This window comes from Homo sapiens, chromosome 1 (assembly GCF_000001405.40).
Source record: "Homo sapiens chromosome 1, GRCh38.p14 Primary Assembly".
NCBI classification, from domain to species: domain Eukaryota; kingdom Metazoa; phylum Chordata; class Mammalia; order Primates; family Hominidae; genus Homo; species Homo sapiens.
This window is the reverse complement of record NC_000001.11, coordinates 48,258,983-48,280,605: the sequence shown is the minus strand read 5'-3', so window position 1 is coordinate 48,280,605 and position 21,623 is coordinate 48,258,983. Positions and strand designations below refer to the sequence as shown.

The 21,623-nt window shown below is 36.9% G+C and overlaps 1 protein-coding gene across 3 annotated transcripts in view; it reads left to right on the top strand.

Annotated features, from left to right (window-relative positions):
- The window catches only part of SPATA6 (spermatogenesis associated 6), a 210,816-nt gene extending 191,599 nt beyond the window's left edge, over positions 1 to 19,217 (top strand). For all 3 annotated transcript variants that reach the window (XM_047422913.1, XM_047422901.1, XM_006710699.4), the window contains one exon: positions 18,938 to 19,217. In XM_047422913.1, the coding sequence (XP_047278869.1) occupies positions 18,938 to 18,962 (25 nt within the window). In that variant the 3' untranslated portion in view covers positions 18,963 to 19,217. The remainder of the gene's footprint in view (positions 1 to 18,937) is intronic.
- Positions 19,218 to 21,623: the final 2,406 nt, after the last annotated feature.

The following is a 21,623-nucleotide window of genomic DNA, read 5'->3' as shown; positions in this document are numbered from 1 at the left end:
GTCGAGGAATTTATCCATTTATTCTAGATTTTCTAGTTTATTTGTGTAGAGGTGTTTGTAGTATTCTCTGATGGTAGTTTGTATTTCTGTGTGATCGGTGGTGATATCCCCTTTATCATTTTTTATTGCATCTATTTGATTCTTCTCTCTTTTCTTCTTTATTAGTCTTGCTAGCAGTCTATCTATTTTGTTGATTCTCTCAAAAAAACAGCTCCTGTATTCACTAATTTTTTGAAGGGTTTTTTGTGTCTCTATTTCCTTCAGTTCTGCTCTGATTTTAGTTATTTCTTGCCTTCTGCTAGCTTTTGAATGTGTTTGCTCTTGCTTTTCTAGTTCTTTTAATTGTGATGTTAGGGTGTCAATTTTGCATCTTTCCTGCTTTGTCTTGTGGGCATTTAGTGCTATAAATTTCCCGCTACACACTGCTTTGAATGTGTCCCAGAGATTCTGGTATGTTGTGTCTTTGTTCTCGTTGGTTTCAAAGAACATCTTTATTTCTGCCTTCATTTCGTTATGTACCCAGTAGTCATTCAGGAGCAGGTTGTTCAGTTTCCATGTAGTTGAGCGGTTTTCAGTGAGTTTCTTAATCCTGAGTTCTAGTTTGATTGCACTGTGGTCTGAGAGACAGTTTGTTATAATTTCTGTTCTTTTACATTTGCTGAGGAGTGCTTTACTTCCAACTATGTGGTCAGTTTTGGAATAGGTGTGGTGTGGTGCTGAAAAGAATGTATATTCTGTTGATTTGGGGTGGAGAGTTCTTTAGATGTCTATTAGGTCCACTTGGTGCAGAGCTGACTTCAATTCCTGGGTATCCTTGTTAACTTTCTGTCTCGTTGATCTGTCTAATGTTGACAGGGGAGTGTTAAAGTCTCCCATTATTATTGTGTGGGAGTCTAAGTCTCTTTGTAGGTCACTCAGGACTTGCTTTATGAATCTGCATGCTCCTGTATTGGGTGCATATATATTTAGGATAGTTAGCTCTTCTTGTTGAATTGATCCCTTTACCATTATGTAATGGGCTTCTTTGTCTCTTTTTATCTTTGTTGATTTAAAGTCTGTTTTATCAGAGACTAGGATTGCAACCCCTGCCTTTTTTTGTTTTCCATTTACTTGGTAGATCTTCCTCCATCCTTTTATTTTGAGCCTATGTGTTTCTCTGCACATGAGATGGGTTTGCTGAATACAGCACACTGATGGATCTTGACTCTTTGTCCTGTTTGCCAGTCTGTGTCTTTTAATTGGAGCATTTAGCCCATTTACATTTAAAGTTAATATCGTTATGTGTGAATTTGATCCTGTCATTTTGATGTTATCTGGTTATTTTGCTCGTTAGTTGATGCAGTTTCTTCCTAGCCTCGATGGTCTTTACAATTTGGCATGTTTTTGCAGTGGCTGATACCGGTTGTTCCTTTCCATGTTTAATGCTTCCTTCAGGAGCTCTTTTAGGGCAGGCCTGGTGGTGACAAAATCTCTCAGCATTTGCTTGTCTGTAAAGGATTTTATTTCTCCTTCACTTATGAAGCTTAGTTTGGCTGGATATGAAATTCTGGGTTGAAAATTCTTTTCTTTAAGAATGTTGAATATTGGCCCCCACTCTCTTCTGGCTTGTAGAGTTTCTGCCGAGAGATCCGCTGTTAGTTTGATGGGCTTCCCTTTGTGGGTAACCTGACCTTTCTCTCTGGCTGCCCTTAACATTTTTGCCTTTATTTAAACTTTGGTGAATCTGACAATTATGTGTCTTGGAGTTGCTCTTCTCGAGGAGTATCTTTGTGGCGTTTCTGTATTTCCTGAATCTGAATGTTGGCCTCCCTTGCTAGATTGGGGAAGTTCTCCTGGATAATATCCTGCAGAGTGTTTTCCAACTTGGTTCCATTCTCCCCGTCAGTTTCAGGTACGCCAATCAGATGTAGATTCGGTCTTTTCACATAGTCCCATATTTCTTGGAGGCTTTGTTCATTTCTTTTTGTTCTTTTTCCTCTAAACTTCCCTTCTCGCTTCATTTCATTCATTTCGTCTTCCATCACTGATACCCTTTCTTCCAGTTGATCACATCAGCTCCTGAGGCTTCTGCATTCTTCATGTAGTTCTCGAGCCTTGGCTTTCAGCTCCATCAGCTCCTTTAAGCAGTTCTCTGTATTGGGTATTCTAGTTATACATTCGTCTAAATTTTTTTCAAAGTTTTCAACCTCTTTGCCTTTGGTTTGAATTTCCTCCTGTAGCTCGGAGTAGTTTGATCGTCTGAAGCCTTCTTCTCTCAACTCATCAAAGTCATTCTCCATCCAGCTTTGTTGTGTTGCTGGTGAGGAGCTGTGTTCTTTGGAGGAGGAGAGGCGCTCTGCTTTTTAGAGTTTCCAGTTTTTCTGTTCTGTTTTTTTCCCCATCTTTGTGGTTTTATCTACTTTTGGTCTTTGATGATGGGGATGTACAGATGAGTTTTTGGTGTGGATGTCCTTTCTGTTTGTTAGTTTTCCTTCTAACAGACAGGACCCTCAGCTGCAGGTCTGTTGGAGTTTGCTAGAGGTCCACTCCAGACGCTGTTTGCCTGGGTATCAGCAGTGATGGGTGCATAACAGTGGGTTTTCTTGAACCGTGAATGCTGCTGTCTGATCATTCCTCTGGAAGTTTTGTGTCAGAGGAGTACCTGGCCATGTGAGGTGTCAGTCCGCCCCTACTGAGGGGTGCCTCCCAGTTAGGCTGCTCATTGGTCAGTGGTCAGGGACCCACTTGAGGAGGCAGTCTGCCCATTCTCAGATCTCCAGCTGTGTGCTGGGAGAACCACTGCTCTCTTCAAAGCTGTCAGAGAGGGACATTTAAGTCTGCAGAGGTTACTGCTGTCTTTTTGTTTGTCTGTGCCCTGCCCCCAGAGGTGGAGCCTACAGAGGCAGGCAGGCCTCCTTGAGCTGTGGTGGGCTCCACCCAGTTCGAGCTTCCCAGCTGCTTTGTTTACCTAAGCAAGCCTGCGCAATGGCGGGTGCCCCTCCCCCAGCCTGGCTGCCACCTTGCAGTTTGATCTCACACTGCTGTGCTAGCAATCAGTGAGACTCTGTGGGCGTAGGACCCTCCGAGCCAAGTGCGGGATATAATCTCCTGGTGCACCGTTTTTTAAGCCCGTCGGAAAAGCGCAGTATTGGGGTGGGAGTGACCCAATTTTCCAGGTGCCATCTGTCACCCCTTTCTTTGACTAGGAAAGGGAACTCCCTGACCCCTTGCGCTTCCCAAGTGAGGCAATGCCTCGCCCTGCTTTGGCTCACGCATGGTGCGCTGCACCCACTGTCCTGCACCCACTGTCTGGCACTCCCTAGTGAGATGAACCCGGTACCTCAGATGGAAATGCAGAAATCACCCATCTTCTGCATCGCTCACGCTGGAAACTGTAGACCGGAGCGGTTCCTATTTGGCCATCTTGGCTCCAGCCTCCCAATTCAGAATTTCATATACAGCGAAACTAAGCTTCAAAAGTGAAGGAGAAACCCCATCTCTACTAAAAAATACAAAAAAAAAAAAAAGCAAAAAACAAAGAAGGCCATTGCTAATGGTAAAGGGATCAATGCAACAAGAAGAGTTAACTATCTTAAATATATATGCACCCAATAAAGGAGCACCGAGATTCATAAAGGAAGTTCTTAGAGACCTACAAAGAGAATTAGACTTCCACACAATAATAGTGGAAGACTTGAACACCCCACTGTCAATATTAGATCAATGAGACACAAAGCTAACAAAGATATTCAGGACTTGAATTCAGCTCCGGACCAAGTGGACCTAATATACATCTACACAATTCTCCACCCAAATCAACATAATATACATTCTTCTCAGCACCACATCGTACTCATTCTAAAATTGACCACATAATTGGAAGTAAAACACTCCTCAGTTAATGCAAAATAATGGAAAAATAAGAAACATTCTCTCAGACCACAGTGCAATCAAATTAGAACTCAGTATTAAGAAACTCACTCAAAATGCACAACTATATGGAAACTGAAAAACCTACTCCTGAATGATTTCTGGGTAAATAAGGACGTAACGGCAGAAATAATAAGTTCTTTAAAACGAATAAGAACAAAGACACAACATACCAGAATCTCTGGGGCACAGCTAAAACAGTGTTTACAGGGAAATGTATAGCACTTAATGTCCACAGGTGAAAGTGGGAAAGATCTAAAGTTGACACCCTGACATCATAATTAAAAGAACTAGAGAACCAAGAGCAAACAAATTCAAAAGCTAGCAGAAGATAAGAAATAAGATCAGAGAAGAACTGAATGAGAAAGAGACATGAAAAACCCTTCAAAAAAATGAATGACTCCAGGAACTGGATTATTGAAAAGATCAGCTAAATAGACAGAAGGCTGGCCAGACTAATATAGAAGAAAAAAGAGAAGAATCAAACAGACACAATAAAAAATGATAAAGTGGATGTCACCACTGATCTCACAGAAATACAAATACCATCAGAGAATAATACTATAAACACCTCTATGCAAATAAACTAGAAAATGTAGAAGAAATGGATAAATTCCTGGACACAGACACCTTCCCAAGACTAAATCAGAAAGAAGTCGAATCCCTGAATAGACCAATAATAAGTTCTGAAATTGAGGCAGCAATTAATAGCCTACCAATAAAAAAAAAGCCCAGGACCAGACTGATTCACAGCTGAATTCTACCAGAGGTACAAAGAGGAGCTGGTACCATTACCTCTGAAACGATTCCAAACAATAGAAAAAGAGGGACTCCTCCATAACTCATTTTATGAGTCCAGCATCATCCTGATACCAAAACCTGGCAGAGGCACAACAAAAAAAGAAAATTTCAGGCCAATATCCTAAATAAACTGCTAAATCAAATCCAGCAGCACATCAAAAAGCTTATCTGCCATGATCAAGTTGCCTTCAATATATGCAAATCAATTATGTTAAACATAAAAACATACCATAAAAACATATGCGAATCAATCAATGTAATCCATCACAGAAACAGAAACAATGACAAAAACCACGTGATTATCTCAATAGATACAGAAAAGGCCTTTGATAAAATTCAGCACCCCTTCTTGCTAAAAACTCTCAATGAACTAGGTATTGATGGGACGTATCTCAAAATAATAAGAGCTATTAATGACAAACCCACAGCCAATATCATACTGAATGGGCAAAAGCTGGAATCATTCCCTTTCAAAACCAGCAAAAGGCAAGGATGCCCTCTCTTACCACTCCTATTCAACATAGTGTTGGAAGTTCTGGCCAGGGCAATCAGGCAAGAGAAAGAAATAAAGGGTATTCAAATAGGAAGAGAGGAAGTCAAATTGTCTCTCTTTGCAGATGACATGATTGTATATTTAGAAAACCCCATCATCTCAGCCCAAAATTTCCTTAAGCTGATAAGCAACTTCAGCACAGTGTCGGGATACAAAATCAATGTGCAAAAATTACAAGCATTCCTATGTACCAATAATAGACAAACAGAGAGCCAAATCATGAGTGAACTCCCATTCACAATTGCTACAAAGAGAATCAAATACCTAGGAATAAAACTTACAAGAAATGTGAAGGCCCTCTTTAAGGAGAACTACAAACCACTGCTCAGAGAAATAAGAGAGGACATAAACAAATGGAAAAACATTCCATGCTCATGGATAGGAAGAATCAATATAGTAAAAATGAGTATACTGCCCAAAGTAATTTATAGATTCGATGCTATCCCCATCAAGCTACCATTGACTTTCTTCACAGAATTAGAAAAAACTACTTTAAATTTCATATGGAACCATAAAGAGCCTGCATAGCCAAGACAGTCCTAAGCAAAAAGAATAAAGCTGGAGGGATCCTGCTACCTGACTTTAAATTATACTACAAGGCTACAGTAATGAAAACAGCATGGTACTGGTACCAAAACAGATATATAGACCAATGGAACAGAACAGAGGCCTCAGAAATAATGCCACATATCTACAACCATATGATCTTTGAAAACGTGACAAAAACAAGAAATGGGGAAATGATTTCCTATTTAATAAATGGTGTTGGAAAAACTGGCTAGCCATATGCAGAAAACTGAAACTGGACCCCTTCCTTATACCTTATACAAAAATTAACTCAAGATGGATTAAAGACTTAAAAGTAAGACCTAAAACCATAAAAACCCTAGAAGAAAACCTAGGCAATACCATTCAGGACATAAGTCTGGGCAAAGACTGCATGACTAAAACCCCAAAAGCAATGGCAACAAAAACCAAAATATACAACGGGATCTAATTAAACTAAAGAACTTCTGCACAATAAAAGAAACTATCATCAGAGTGAACAGGCAACCTACAGAATGGGAGAAAACTTTTGCAATCTATCCATCTGACATAGGGCTAATATCCAGAATCTATGGAACTTAAATAAAATTACAAGAAAAAAACAAAACCCCATCAAAAAGTGAGCGAAGGATATGAACAGACACTTCTCAAAAGAAGACATTTATGTGGCCAACAAACATATGAAAAAAAGCTCATGATCACACGGATGATTAGAGAAATGCAAATCAAAACCACAATGAGATACCATCTCATGCCAGTTAAAATGGCGATCATTAAAAAGTCAGGAAACAACAGATGCTGGAGAGGATGTAGAGAAATAGGAATGCTTTTACACTGTTGGGGGGAGTGTAAATTAGTTCAACCATTGTGGAAGACAGTGTGGCGATTCCTCAAGGATCTAGAACCAGCAATACCATTTGACCCAGCAATCCCATTACAGGGCACAGGCCCAAAGGATTATAAATCATTCTACTATAAAGACACATGCACACATATGTTTACTGAAGCACTGTTCACAATAGCAAACACTTGGAACCAACTCAAATGCCCATAAATGATAGAATGTATAAAGAAAATGTGGCACATATACACCATGGAATACTCTGCAGCCATAAAAAAAGGATGAGTTCATGTCCTTTACAGGGACATGGATGACACTGGAAACCATCGTTCTCAGCAAACTAACACAGGAACAGAAAACCAAACACCTCATGTTCTCACTCATATGTGGGAGTTGAACAATGAGAACACATGGACACAGCAAGGGGAACATCACACCACCGGGGCCTGTTGTGGGGTGGAGGATGGGGAGGGATAGCATTAGAAGAAATATCTAATGTAGATGACTGGTTGATGGGTCCAGTAAACCACCATGGTACGTGTATACCTATGTAACAAACCTGCACATTCTACACATGTATTCCAAACTTAAAGTATAATAAAAAAAATGATGTTTGGCAAACTGTATATCCAAGTGCCAAAACAAAAAATAAAATTGGACCATTATACCATACACAAAATCAACTCAAAATGGATTGACTTAAATGTAAAACTTGAAACCACAAAACCGTACAAGAAGGCATAAGGAAAATCTCCTTGAAATTGGTCTTGGCAATAATATTTTTGGATATGATAACAAAAGGACAGACAACAAAAGCAAAAATAAAGAGTTGAGGCTACACCCAACTCAAAAGCTTCTGTATAGCAAACAATCAACAAAATGTAAAGACAATATTCGGAATGAGGAAAAAAGATTTGCAAACCGTATATTCAATAAGGGGTTAAATCCTAAATATATAAGGGACTCATACACCTTAATACCGAAATTACAAATAGCAATTTAAAAATGGACAAAGGACCTCAAAAGAAGGAATTCAAAAGGCCAACAGGAATACGAAAAGTTGCTCAACATCTCTAATTATCAGGGGAAATGCAAATCAAAACCACAATGAGATATCACCTCCCACAGGTTAGAATGGCTACTATCAAAAAGACAAAAGATAACAAGTGTTTTTCCATAGCCGTTATGGAAATCAGTATGAAGGTGACTTAAAAAATTAAAAATAGAACTATCATATGATCCAACAATTTCACTTCTGGGTATATATTCAAAGGAATTGAAATAAGAATTGCAAAGAGGTATCTATATTACTATGTTCATTACAGTATTACAATAGCCAAGATATGGAATCAACCTAAGTGTCCACCAATGGATGAATGGAAAATAAAATGTAGTATATATATACACAAAGGAATACTATTCTGCCTTAATAAAAGAAGGAAATCCTGCCATTTGTGACTACATGGATGGAGTTTTATGGCATCTTGCTAAGCAAAATAAGCAAGACACAGAAAAATACTTCATGATCTCACTCATATGAGAATCTCAAATAGTCAAACTCATAGAAGTAGAAGTAGGATGGTGGTTGCCAGGGATTGAGGGGAGAAGGAAATGGGGTGATATTGATCAAAGGGTACAAAGTTTCAGCTATGAAAGATGAATAACTTCTGGACATCTAATGTACAACATGGTGATGATAGTTAATAAACTGTGTTGTATAATTAATATTTGCTAAGAAGACAGGTCTTAAATCTTCTCAACAGACACAAACACAAATGGTAACTATGTAGAGGTGATGGATATGTTAATTAGCTTGATTGACATCATTTTATAGTGTATACATATATCAAAACGTCAAGTTATGCCTTAATTACATAAATTTTTTTATGTCAATGATACCTCAATAAAGCTACTAAGGAGATTTTCAAGAAAGTGCATTTTGCTATATTTGTAGATGACCTTCATGAAAGTACTGGACATGAGAGTGAGATAAATCAGGATTTCTGAACTCAAGGAGCTTACCCTGACTATTGATGGTGGGACAGACAAGTCAACAATTACAGTACAATATCTATTGATTGACTCATGTTTAGCATATTGTGTGTAGGCTCTTCTAGGGAAGGGTCATTTCTTCATTTTTATATCCATGGCATCACAAACTGGACATATCTTTATTATAGCACTTAGCAAACTGAATTATCAGTGACTATCTTACCTGTTTTTACTGGTCAGTGATTTGGGGCCTTGTTTACCTCTGCATCCCATGGCCTAGTTGTTAAATCTGCATCCCTAGTGCAGATTGCTATTCTAGTTGTTTAACTGTGCATCCCATGGCCTAGTTGTTCAATCAAATTTTGTTGAATGACTGCATGAAAGAAAAAACACATCGAAGGGCCAGCAAAAGCAATACAAAGCCTATTTCTATTTGGATATAGGAGATGAGAAGTCTAACAGGGTTGTTGCTATCAGCAAGTCTACCTGTACTTGCAGCCAAGAGACATAAAAATGAAAAGGATGAGAGAAACATCTTGGTTGTACCCACAGTACTCAAGAAGAAAGAAATAGTTCCTCAGTTCAGAGTTAATGTTTCCATAATGAAATCTGATTTTCAAATGGATACTCTTAAATTTTTTTAAATAAGAAGTTTTCTAATATAATGGCCTGCCTTTTTGTTTATTACTTGGTTAATTAACTAATATACATGGAGCTCAGGTGACTAAGACCAGCTCCTAAACTGCTACTGCAAGGGGTGATAAGTATAATGTTAGAAAGTGGATCGAGGTAGCAATTGCCTGCAATGGTTTTGAGCACCTTATATTTCAATGGAGTTTAAACCTCTTTTATTAAATGCAAATTTCTTGGTTCCAAAGATGAGCCTTAAATATTTTCTGTCCCAATGCCTTATCTTTTGTCATTCACAAACAGTTCATTTTTGACTCAAAGATTGAATAATTCTCTATCTTCTAGCTTTCAAATGCAACCAACTTAATCTAGAAACTATGGTTAGCTGTCTTAATTAAGAGTTAATATGATAAGTAGGGTATTTATGTGAATATTCAAACAAAATCATCTCAGTGAAATGCAGCATTGTTTAAGTTATATCTTAAATCTTGGTATGTTGCATTCAAGCTGAGGAGCCTGATGGAGGATAACATATTCTCCTCTAATTTGTATAGTATATGAAAGTTTACAGGTTTTTTTGTGGAGTGGGAAGATGGTTTTTTTTTTTTCCTCTTCTTCTGACCTTAGTATATTTTTTAAAGGTCTTAAGCCAAGGGAATTAAACTAATATTTATTAAGGACTGCCATCTGTACTCGGTAATTTACATCTTTTTTTTATTTGATTTTCACAACATATCTGTGTAGTAGGGGGTAGGTATGTGTAATCTCAGTTTTACAGACTAGGAAACTGAGAAATTAAACTGCTGTGATTAGCCAGTGATAAACACAACCAGTAAATGAGAAAGCTTGGACTTGAAGGTAAACCCAACTCTGCCTCTCAACTAGATAAGTGGTTAAAAAACTCAGTTTGTTATAGTTCATATGTTTTTAAATGGTGGAGCTGGTATCTCTTCAGAAAGAACTTCAGTGGATAAAATAAGTGAACTTACCTTTACGCATTAAAACCTATAGCAAATTTCCAACATCTGAGCACTAAAAACAAAGAGATTATCTCATCAACTAAGGAAGAAATTGGCGGAAGTGTATGAAAGGCACATCAATGCAGAATTATTTTAACTGACCTGAGAGTTCATGGGCACCGGAGTTATGTATGGGATAGTTCTAGGTAAAGACTTAGGATGCACTTCCTCTGGAACCCCAGTCACCTCTTTAGCTGAGTAACCACAAGTTTAAGCATCACTACATTTCTGTTTCAGTAAAAATTTAAAGAAGTTTAGCTTTTTTTGGTATATCATAGAATTCAGAAGGAAGGTGAGGAAAAACTCTTAATGAAAGACAGTGTCTTTGAACAGCTGCCATAGAATTGAGAATAAGTGTATCTTGTTAGAGACTTTCATTGATCAATGAAAATAACTCTTCACTAATTTACTGATTTCTTTTTTTTTAAAGGTAAAATTAGTTATATAAGCAGACAAAAGGTTGGAGAAGGATTTATTTATATATATATTTTAAATTTTATATACCAAATGTATATTTGAAATACATATGATTTATTTATGTTTGTTATATAAGTGTATTTATACTTTGCATATTTATTATATTATATATGTATTTCTATTACCAAAAGACTGACAGCAACATTGTATCATAGAAAAAGCACTGCCTTTCAACCTTCTGAACCTCATCTTTGTCTACCTATGAAATAGGATAATAAATGTCCTCCATTCTTCAGATAAGTGTTATGATTAAATGGGAAAATATATATGGACATTCTTTGTCATATATTAGGCCTTATCATAATACCTTGCTTTTATGAATGATCTGGTAAACAGTATTTGTAGTTTGAAAAATATTCCATTTGGCATAATGGCAGTACTGTTGGTTCTACAGTTGAACAGACCCTGGATTTCATTCTCTAAATTTGTCACCTCTGTATTCTTCAACTTTTATGGAAACATGCTTTCTCACTGGTAGAATGGAAGATATTTTCATAGAGTTGTTGTAATTGTTTAAAGAGCTAATGTACATGGAGTACCTAGTACAATGCATGGTGTTCATTAAATGGTCATTGTGATGACTAAAATTCAAAGTCAGTAGAGATAGTACTTGGGAAGATGTTGAGGATTTGATCAGAGAAAAAAATGGGCTATTTGAATACGTATAGAAAAATATTAAGAATTATTTTAAGACATAGGACCAAATTACTGTGTTCAGATATTTTGATATGGCTCTTAAATTTACTAGTTATTTAATTTATGTAGGCTGTGTGAGATAATAAAAACAGCACTATATATGTGGGCTTAGAGTCTGTAATGTGGGAATACCTAGAGATCTCAAACCTTAATTTTACTGTCCATGGAATGGGAATAATACCCACCTAGGATGGTTACTATGAAGACTGCATGAGGTAAAAGATGCAAAGTGACTAGACTGTACCTGATAAATAGTAGATGCATAAAGATAATTTTGTACCTTTTTCCCTGTCATTAGTTTCATTGTTTTGTGCACAAATCCATCCAGGCATAGACAGCTGCCTTAGTGTCATTATTTCAGTTTTTAAAAACATTCTATTAACCTTTTATACCTTGTGCATATTGGTAAGGAAGTTCTATGTAGGTTTTACATGTGAAGCTAAACACGAGTTCAGTTAGAGAATATTATCCATTTATATGTTATACAGTTAAGGTAGTATTTTTAAAACAAAAATAAATTTAGTTTGAGAGTATGTTCTCTAAAACCAGTTTCAATCCTAGGAAGTTTTTTCTGGATTTTTTTTTTAATTTAGCACACTTACGTTTTATAAAATTAACCATATTTTTCCAATTTGGAGAATGTTAGAGGTAGAAGTTAATCACTCTAGTTCAGCAGAAGTGACCCTACAGGAGCTCAGCCAGATGAATGTTTCCATAGCTCTTAGGAATGTTCAATGTGATTTCACCTTTTTCAGAAGATTATAACATATGATTACATATGTACATACAGATAGATACACACACACAAACACACACACACACACACACACACACACATATTTTTATTTTTAAGTAGACCCATCTCAAGTGCTTAAAAGAATGCCTAGCACATGATAATGATATGGGATGGGGGCACAGAAGTGCTGGGTAGAGAAGGGTGGGGTCCCTGGCAAGGGCTCCACCCTTGGACCTGTGCCCACATACCTAGGTGAGGACAGGCACTCCTGTTTTTGCACCCAAATGTCGCATTTTCCAAGACCACCCTGGCCCCCCACGTACCCCATTCTGTGACTATAAAAACCCTGAGACCTGGCCGGGCGCGGTGGCTCATGCCTGTAATCCCAGCACTTTGGAAGGCCGAGACAGGTGGATCACGAGGTCAGGAGATCGAGACCATCCTGGCTAACACGGTGAAACCCCGTCTCTACTAAAAATACAAAAAATTAGCCAAGCGTGGTGGCGGGCACCTGTGGTCCCAGCTACTCGGGAGGCTGAGGCAGGAGAATGGCATGAACCCGGGAGGCGGAACTTGCAGTGAGCCGAGATCGTGTCACTGCCTGGGCCACAGAGCGAGACTCCATCTCAAAAAAAAAAAAAAAAAAAAAAAAACCCAGACCCTAGTGGTCACAGACTCGAGCGCTGGACGTCGAGAGGAACACACTGCAGAAGAACACACACAGGCGGCTGGATATCAAGAGGAGCAGAGTAGCGGAAGTGCACACTGATGAGGAGGAACAGACGCCTGTAGACCAGGTAGGACAACGCAGAATTTGGCCAGCAGTGGTTGGAGGAGAGTCCAGCTGCTGGGCGGCCAACTTCAGAGGAAGACCACCTTCCCACTCCATCCCCCTTCTAGCTCCCCATCCATCTGCTGAGATCTACCTCCATCCTTCAGTAAAACTTTGCACTCATTCTCCAAGCCCACGTGTGATTCGATTTTTCCAGTACACTCAGATGAGAGCCTGGAATACAGAAAGCCCTCTGTCCTTGCAATAAGGCAGAGAGTCTAATCGAGCTGATTAATGCAAGCCACCTGCAGATGGCAAAACTGAAAGAGTGCACTGTAACACATGCCCACTGGGGCTTCAGGAGCTGTAAACACTAAACCCTAGATGCAGCCGTGGGGTCGGTGCCCGCCTCACGACCTGCCCGTCTGCATGCACACCCTAGGGATATGAGCAGGGGCACCGAAGAAGTGAGCCACACTCCCATCGCAGGCCCTGAGATGGGGATAAGGGAACTTTTCTCATTTCAGTAAGGGCTCTATAAATAATATTTATTATTATTATTATTATATAGCTCACTATTTGACTCATCTAAAATATTTATTTCGGAAATAATTACTTAGCATAGCTCCTAATATTCTGTGGTTAAAGAAAATATTATATTGAAAAGGAATCTATCACTTAACAAGGACATGTTGAAAATATTTTGAATATTCCTAACGGATAGAAAAAAATATGCTATCCTAATTCCCCTTTGTGGTCCAGCAGTGGCTCACATATAATACATTCCTACAACTGTGCTGCATAAAGAATGTGTTTTGGCATAGAAGCAGCATAATTTGGAGAGGTTTTTGTTGATAATCTTAAACAAAAACAGTCAAAATAATTTCACTTCCACTGGAAACCTGGAGGGGAATTGTTTTTGCCAAATGAAAGAAAAGATGCCAGCTTTTGAATTACGAAGTATTTTCAAGTGTTTATGTTGGGAAAATGGAAAACAAAGAACATTTGACTTTAGTGAATTTTTGTCTACCAAATATTTAAAACCTTGGAAAAACTATTTCTAATAAGCTTTTTTTCATAAATAATAGCTTGCATTTTATATCATCCATTATCCTTTTCAAGCATTTAACTTATTTCATTGTATCCTTCCATGACACGTTTGTGAATTAGGTAGAACAGGGATTATAATTTACATTTTTTACAAACAAGAAAACTCAAGTTTGGGTTAAGTGTCTCCTGTGGGTCACACGGTGGGAGTGTTAGTGTCTGAACTAGGACTTACATTCAAATGTTAGTATTTTCTCATAAATAGTCTATAGAACTTTTCCCTACTATTGTTTGATTTTCCTTAGGTATTGAGTTTAATGTTGGATTTTAAGAGGTGGTATTTGATTTTCAGTGATTGATCCATTGCTATATTGGAGGAAGCTAGTTTTCCATTATTTAAACATTTTTAATATGTTTGTGAATAGCTCCAAACATTTGCTTTCTCTGCTCTTACTCTGTCCCTGTTGGTTAGTTCACCTACTTATTAACCCACCTTTGCTACATTGAATAGGAAAGGAAATTAGTCAACTTGTAATTTGTTAGCAGCTCTACTAGAAATGTTTAGTAATGAAGAGTGCATGGGATTTTTAAAATGCAGTAATCTACTCACCATGCATAATTGGAAATTGTCATAATTTGTGAAGAACTTTTCCTAGGTGTAGGATTCAGAACTAGAATATCTGAGACATATCTAATATTAATCTATTTAGGGGGATAAGCATGACTATATAACATCCAGGTCTAAAGCTGATGAGGCTTTTGATTATTTATGTTCAAGGTCAGTGGTTCCAAATCCTAACTGATCAGAATCACTCAGGAAGCCTGTTAAAAATCCCAGCCTCTGGAGATCCTGAAGCAGTAAATTTAACATCTGTAAGTTTTTAGTCTCTCTAGGTGATTATAATGCTTACCCAGGTTTGAGAACCATGGATCTAGCACCTATTCACAGCTTTCTCTGTGGGAAGGAGCATATGGGACTTTTTTTCTGATTTTAATTTTTCCTTCTTTTAAAATATTTTCGTTGTGTTAGCCTCTTCACCATCTGGATTGATTTTATTTTTATTTTTTATAAAAACAGGCAAAAATACCTTGAGCTCCAAGAAACATAATGCTTGGCTCTAGATTCCATGTGAACTATATACCTTTTGGTTTATCCATGACTAACCTTTAAATCCCAGGGGTTTTTTTTTTCTCCTTTAATATAAGCAGTTATCAAAATCGTTCATTTATGCATTCATTAAGCAAATATTGATATTTGCTTATAATGAAGCTGATAATACAGATATTATCAGTAGCACTAGGAAAATATAAAATAAATAAATATAAAATAAAATAAATAAGATGTATCCGGATCTCTCACAAATGCATTACAGTGTGTTATAAAATGTTGTGTATTATGGATATGTACAATATAAGTAAATATATGAAGGAAATGTTTAGGTGGGTACTTATGGAGCATGAAAGAGGAAGCAACCACTTCCTTAACAAATGAAGAAAGATATGATGAAGGATTCAGCCTTTCATCTTGATCTTAAAGGATGATTTTGTCAGAAGAGGAGAAGTAGGCCATTAGAGCTTGCATGGAGGCATGAAGAGGCACAGCATATTCAGGGAACTTTTAGTTCAACCATTGTAGAAGACAGTGTGGTGATTTCTCAAGGATCTAGAACTAGAAATACCATTTGACCCAACAATCCCATTACTGGGTATATACCCAAAGGATTATAAATTATTCTACTATAAAGACTCATGCACACATATGTTTACTGCAGCACTGTTCACAGGAGCAAAGTCTTGGAACCAACCCAAATGCCCATCAACGATAGACTGGATACAGAAATGTGGTACGTATATACCATGGAATACTATGCAACCATAGAAAAGGATGAGTTCCTGTCCTTTGCAGGGACATGGATGAAACTGGAAACCATCATCCTCAGCAAACTAACACAGGAACAGAAAACCAAACACTGTATGTTCTCACTCATAAGTGGGAGTTGAACAATGAGAAAACATGGACACAGGGAGGGGGACATCACACACTGGGGCCTGTCGGGAGGTGGGGGCTAGGGGAGGGATAGCATTAGGAGAAATACCTAATGTAGATGACGAGTTGATGAGTGCAGCAACCCACCATGGTACGTGTGTACCTATGTAACAAACCTGCATGTTCTGCACATGCATCCCAGAACTTAAAGTATAACAACAAAAAAAGATTTTTAATATGGTTAGAGTATAAGGGTATATGGTGAAATTGGGATCAAGATAAGGTGGAAATGTGTGTTGAAATCACATGAAGATCCTTTGTATGCCTTATAATAGAATTTAAATTTTGTCTTCTTCCCCCAAAAATATTTGGGTACTCAAATAATGGGTTTCCATTTTCATAATATGATTGAGCAGATATATCTGACATCCCAAAGGTTACATTAAAGCCAAGGGTAAGAGTTTTGTAGTCAGTGTTTCTCCAGCCATTTCTCATCTTTCAGCATATTTATTGAGCACTTGTGAACTACACACTGGATGACATAAAGAAAAAATACTAGCCTGGGCAACATAGCAAGACTTAGCTTCTACAAAAAAATACAAAAATTAATTGGGCATGGTGGTATGTGCCTGTAGCCTTAGCTACTTGGGAGGCTGAGGTAGGAGGGATCACCTGAGCCCAGGAGTGCAAGGATGGAGTGAGCCATGATTCCACCACTGCACTCCAGCCTGGGCAACAGAGTGAGACCCTGTCTCAAAACAACAACAACAACAACAAAAACTGGCTTCTTAAATGTTCTCACAGAACTTTCAACGTAGTTTAGCAGATGAAATAAATACTTGAAAAGATCATAGTAAGAGATATCACAAAGGAATTCATATTTGCTGAGGAGTCAATGAGTAGTATGAGTTCAAAGGATGGAGAGAACTAAAGTTATTTATCTGAAAAGGCTTTATGAGTAGAGTAGGGACATGACTTCAGTCTGAAGGACAGGTCGAATTGCAATAGGTAGGAAAGGAGAAAATTACTGTTAACTGGGAAAAATTAAGCAGTGGCATAAAGGTATGGAAACAAGGGTTAATGAAGTGTGTTTGGGAGCAGCAAATTGATCACTTTTCTTGAGCTAGAGTGTCATGTAGGGGCGCACATCGGTGGGTATTGACAATAAATAAATATGGCTTCTAAATGAAATGAAACCTTCAAAAAACCTTGTAAGGAAAGCTATTTCTGAATATACTTTTGATCCATCTTAAAGATCTCATAAAAAACTCCAATTTCAGCTGAACTTTTAAAAATAAATATTTTGCAATATAAAAATATTTCCTGGCATTAAGATATGCTCAAATACCAAACTCACTGCCAAGAGATTTTCCAGCTTAAACCCATGCTTTTTAGATGTGTTGTAAAGAGCTTTAGATATCATTTTATGTTTGCTTTAAACTTTTTTTCAAGGAAAAAATAGAAAAGTATATCCATTGGCCCTGTGTGCTTCTTATACGTTATTGTCAGATCTTCATCTGCTAGGTGCCTGGATTTTTAGTGTAGAGATTACCTGTCATTCTTTGTTTGCCTATAGCCAGTGAACTTCAGGAATAATTTTTTCTTGTCTTGAAACAAGAATGAAGCTATATAGATAATGGTCACCATTATTTAGACATCAAAGATTAATATGAAAATATTTTCTGATAAACTTAGAACCATTTTTGTTTTATATCAGGTTTTCTAGATAAATATTTCAACTTTAATTAGACTTTTCAAATGTCCATTATTTTGTGATTTTAAAAAGCAGTGTTACGTAAAAACTATTAATGGAAGAGTCAGAGAAGTCGTTATATGAAAGTAAAAACTTTGAGGTAACTTGCTAATATTTTTGTATATTTTATTGCAATATTCTTGCATTTTTAAAGTTGGGGTTCTTTTACAAATTTTGTATCCTACTATTTTAGCATTAATACATGTACATTTCTTCATTTTTCTAAAATGATGCATAAGTGTATTTCTTAACGGCTAATATCCCATTGATAGAAAGTAATTTAACCATTCCTCTATTGGACATTTAGATTGTTCCCTAATTATGTGTGTCTATTATATATTTAAACTGGAGAGACATGTATTTGCACCAAAGGTAGGTTATATGATCTACTTACGCAATGTGCAAGTGGAAAATGGATGGCAGAAGGATTGTTCTTCCTTCCTTGTTTGTTTGTACCAGAACTCTTCATTGTTTACATACATTTTAGCCTTGGTGCCATTTTCAGAAGCTTTATTTGTCTCACTTACTTTTTTGGTTTGGATAAGACTTAAATATAAAATCCATCTGTGAAGCATATTGTATATTCACATTGAAGGCTAAAAACCCTTTTTTAATTAAAACTTTATTCAGCACTCATGGTTCACTTTGTCCTGTTTTTATTATGAAACACTTCAGTCTTCTTCCTAAAAACACATATGTCTTGAACATTTCAAGATGTTTCTTGTTGCTCATGCAGAACTAGTTTCTTTATGCTCTCAGCTCACTGCCATATGTTCTAGCTGTTCATTTGCTTCCCTTTCTGGCATCTATGTAGGCAACATCTTGTATGTAATGTAAGTTAGTTTTATTCCCTTCTCCTTTATAAAACTTGTCAGAAGGTAAAATAACACACTGGAAACAGTGAATAGTACTCTGGTAAGTTAGAGTTTTCATGATTCTAAAGGATGTGGCCTTTCTTGTAATCTTAATGTTTGTAAGGTATGAAGAGAAAATGTGTCTAATGACACCTGAAGTCTTGCCAGGTGTGAATAATTACAGTTAAGGTGCTATGGATATTATTTGGTAACAACATATATTATAGAAATTGCAATTCTTTGTATTGAGTATTATACCAAATGTGAAGATTGGGGAAATGTGGAGAGGAAAAATAATAATCAGATCATCCCTTTTATTTTCAGGAATGCACCATATGTCCTCATCTGAAAGTCTCTGCAGGATGGTCTGACTCACGCGAGTGGTTTTGAGATAAGTTGTGTTATACCTCAAGTTAGGTAAAGTCGAGAGATGAACTAACTTAAAAAGTAGTGATGTTTACATAGAATCTAAATTGGAAAAGACAATAATATCAGCATTAGAAAGTTTGCCTTTAAGTAAAAAAAATTATTAGCCATAATAGGTTTTACATTCTTCGTAATAGAATATCCTAAAGCAATAAAACCTCCACTATGTGAACTCTAAGTTCTGAACATCCGAATTTTTCAAATAGTTCTGAGTTATATTTAATTTGTTCTTTACTGACTAGAACACTTCCTAATTTATCACATCATTTTTAACCTCCTCAAACATACTGAATATATTTTTTCCAGGTTTATTGAGGTATAATTGACAAACAAAAATTGTGTATGTAAGGTGTACAATGTGATGTTTTGATATGTGAATACATTTGATGATTCTGGCTTCCCAATATGAAGATCACTTATTGTGTCAGCCAGCATAAAACGTAGGACTGTTGAGATAGAGTAGAATCATTTATGTCTGCAATGACTGCCTCCATGCTAATATGTCTCAATTTTGTTTTGTTTTTAGAATTTATATTTTCACATTTGCTGCATATGATGCAGAGTAGGCTTGGGGACCAGGTTACCAATTTGATATGATTGCATAAAACAAGAATGAAAATGTTCTGTGTCAGGGCCTTTTAAGTATTGGTGTTATGTCATCAGCTTTGACTATTATAAGAATTTTGTGCTTGCTTCCTGCTCCATTTAGATGCATGAACTTGGTGCATTTAAAGAGTATGTCAGTGTAGATGTCAACAGTCTATCTCCCCAAATCCAATTTAATATGTAAGGATAAAATTACATTGATTAAATGTTCTAATTTTATATACATTTTAATATAACAGAAACATAAAAGCATGTAGACTACATTTAGATTTCTTTATATGATGATTTACTATATCATATACCATCCACTCCCAGACAGATTAGAATGCACATCTTTAACTATAGTATTGTACAATTTATGATGCAAAATTTATCATTGTACCAATACAGACCTTATGGTACATTTTATTTAAGTTCATGGTGTTTTCTTTCTGAAAGGAAACTTTTCTTCAATCACAACACAAATGAAAGAGCTAAAATAGAAAGCTTTGCACATTCAGTATAGCCATTTTTAAATGGCTTAATAAATTATTCTTTCAGTAACACTTGACTTAACTTCAATAAATACACACTGAATTACATCCTATAGGTTAGTACAGTTGATAAGCATTTTTTTCTCTCCCTGAACTAAGACATAAAAATCCACACCCAGGAGACAAGCTTAGTAGGTCACAGAAATACCCCCATGTGTCTTGCATGAGGATGTTTGTTCATGCAAAGAACATTTATTGAGCACTTATGTACTAGGGACAGTGGTAGCTGCCAAGGATAGGGGATACAGATTCATCTATCCCTGCTCTTGAGGAACTTAGAGTCCTAAAAAGAAAGACACAGATAGGTGAGTTACATTTCAATATGGAAAATACTATAATAGGTATAAACAAATTTAATCATCACCTTTAGAGGCTGAGAAATTTTTTTAAAAAAGGAATAAAGTGAGGAGTGGTGGGTAGTGGGGAAAGAAAAATGCTCCATCCTGTTTCAAAGAATAAGAGAAATATATCTCCTCGACTCAATGTTATGAATACTGGAGTTGTAGTCATGAAACATTTTTGAATGCTGTTACTATCCCATCTTGAAAAAACACAAAACATCCAGGCACAGAATATTGTTAAGTCAAAGGGAGGATATGATTAATTCTGCTAGAGAAAGGAATGGTCCAGGGAAAATTTTACAGGTACTTGAGGTGAGCCTTAAAGGATCCATGTGATTTCAGTAGGCAGAGATGTGCAAAGAAATGGTGTAGGCCAAGGGAACAGCCAGAATAAAGATCAAAGAAGGCGTGGTAATGAGGATGACACTCTCCTGCCACAATTAATTGTTACGCCTTACAGCACAGTAGCTGGTACTGTGTAATGTAGTAAGAACCACGGACTTGGCCAAATGAGCTTGGTTTGAGACCTGTCAGTATTATGCACCAACTGTGTAGGTTGGTGGCAAGGTGCCGAATCATTCTGTGCCTCCATTTCTTTATCTGAGAAAGGGAAAATGATGCCTAACCTGAGGGCTACCATGTTGTGCAACTGTAGGAGGCATCATTCACATTGTACAGAGGCCCTAGCTATCTCAGGTGGGCTGGGAGGATTAAATGAGACAATACATATAAAGTATTTAACACTGTGGCTGGCACATAGTAAGTGCTCAATAAACATTCACTACTGTTAATCAGGCAACTGTCATTTTAAAAAATGGATTCACTTGAAATCCCTTTTATTTGTAAAGCCTTATGTATCTCTACCCTTGGAAAACAATCTATGTGTTCCTGAGATTAATTTGAGTAGAATGCAAGATATATTTTGCTTCATTTACTGGGCTTCAAAATTTGTTGTCCAGGAAATATAGAAAGACAAAAACATACCAAAGAGAAACAAAACAACAAATAAATTAAATCCCCCTAAATCATTTTGAATGAACATTTTTCTCCAATGATGGTTCATTTTATTCATGCCATTGCATAGAAGTCCCAAATATATTTATT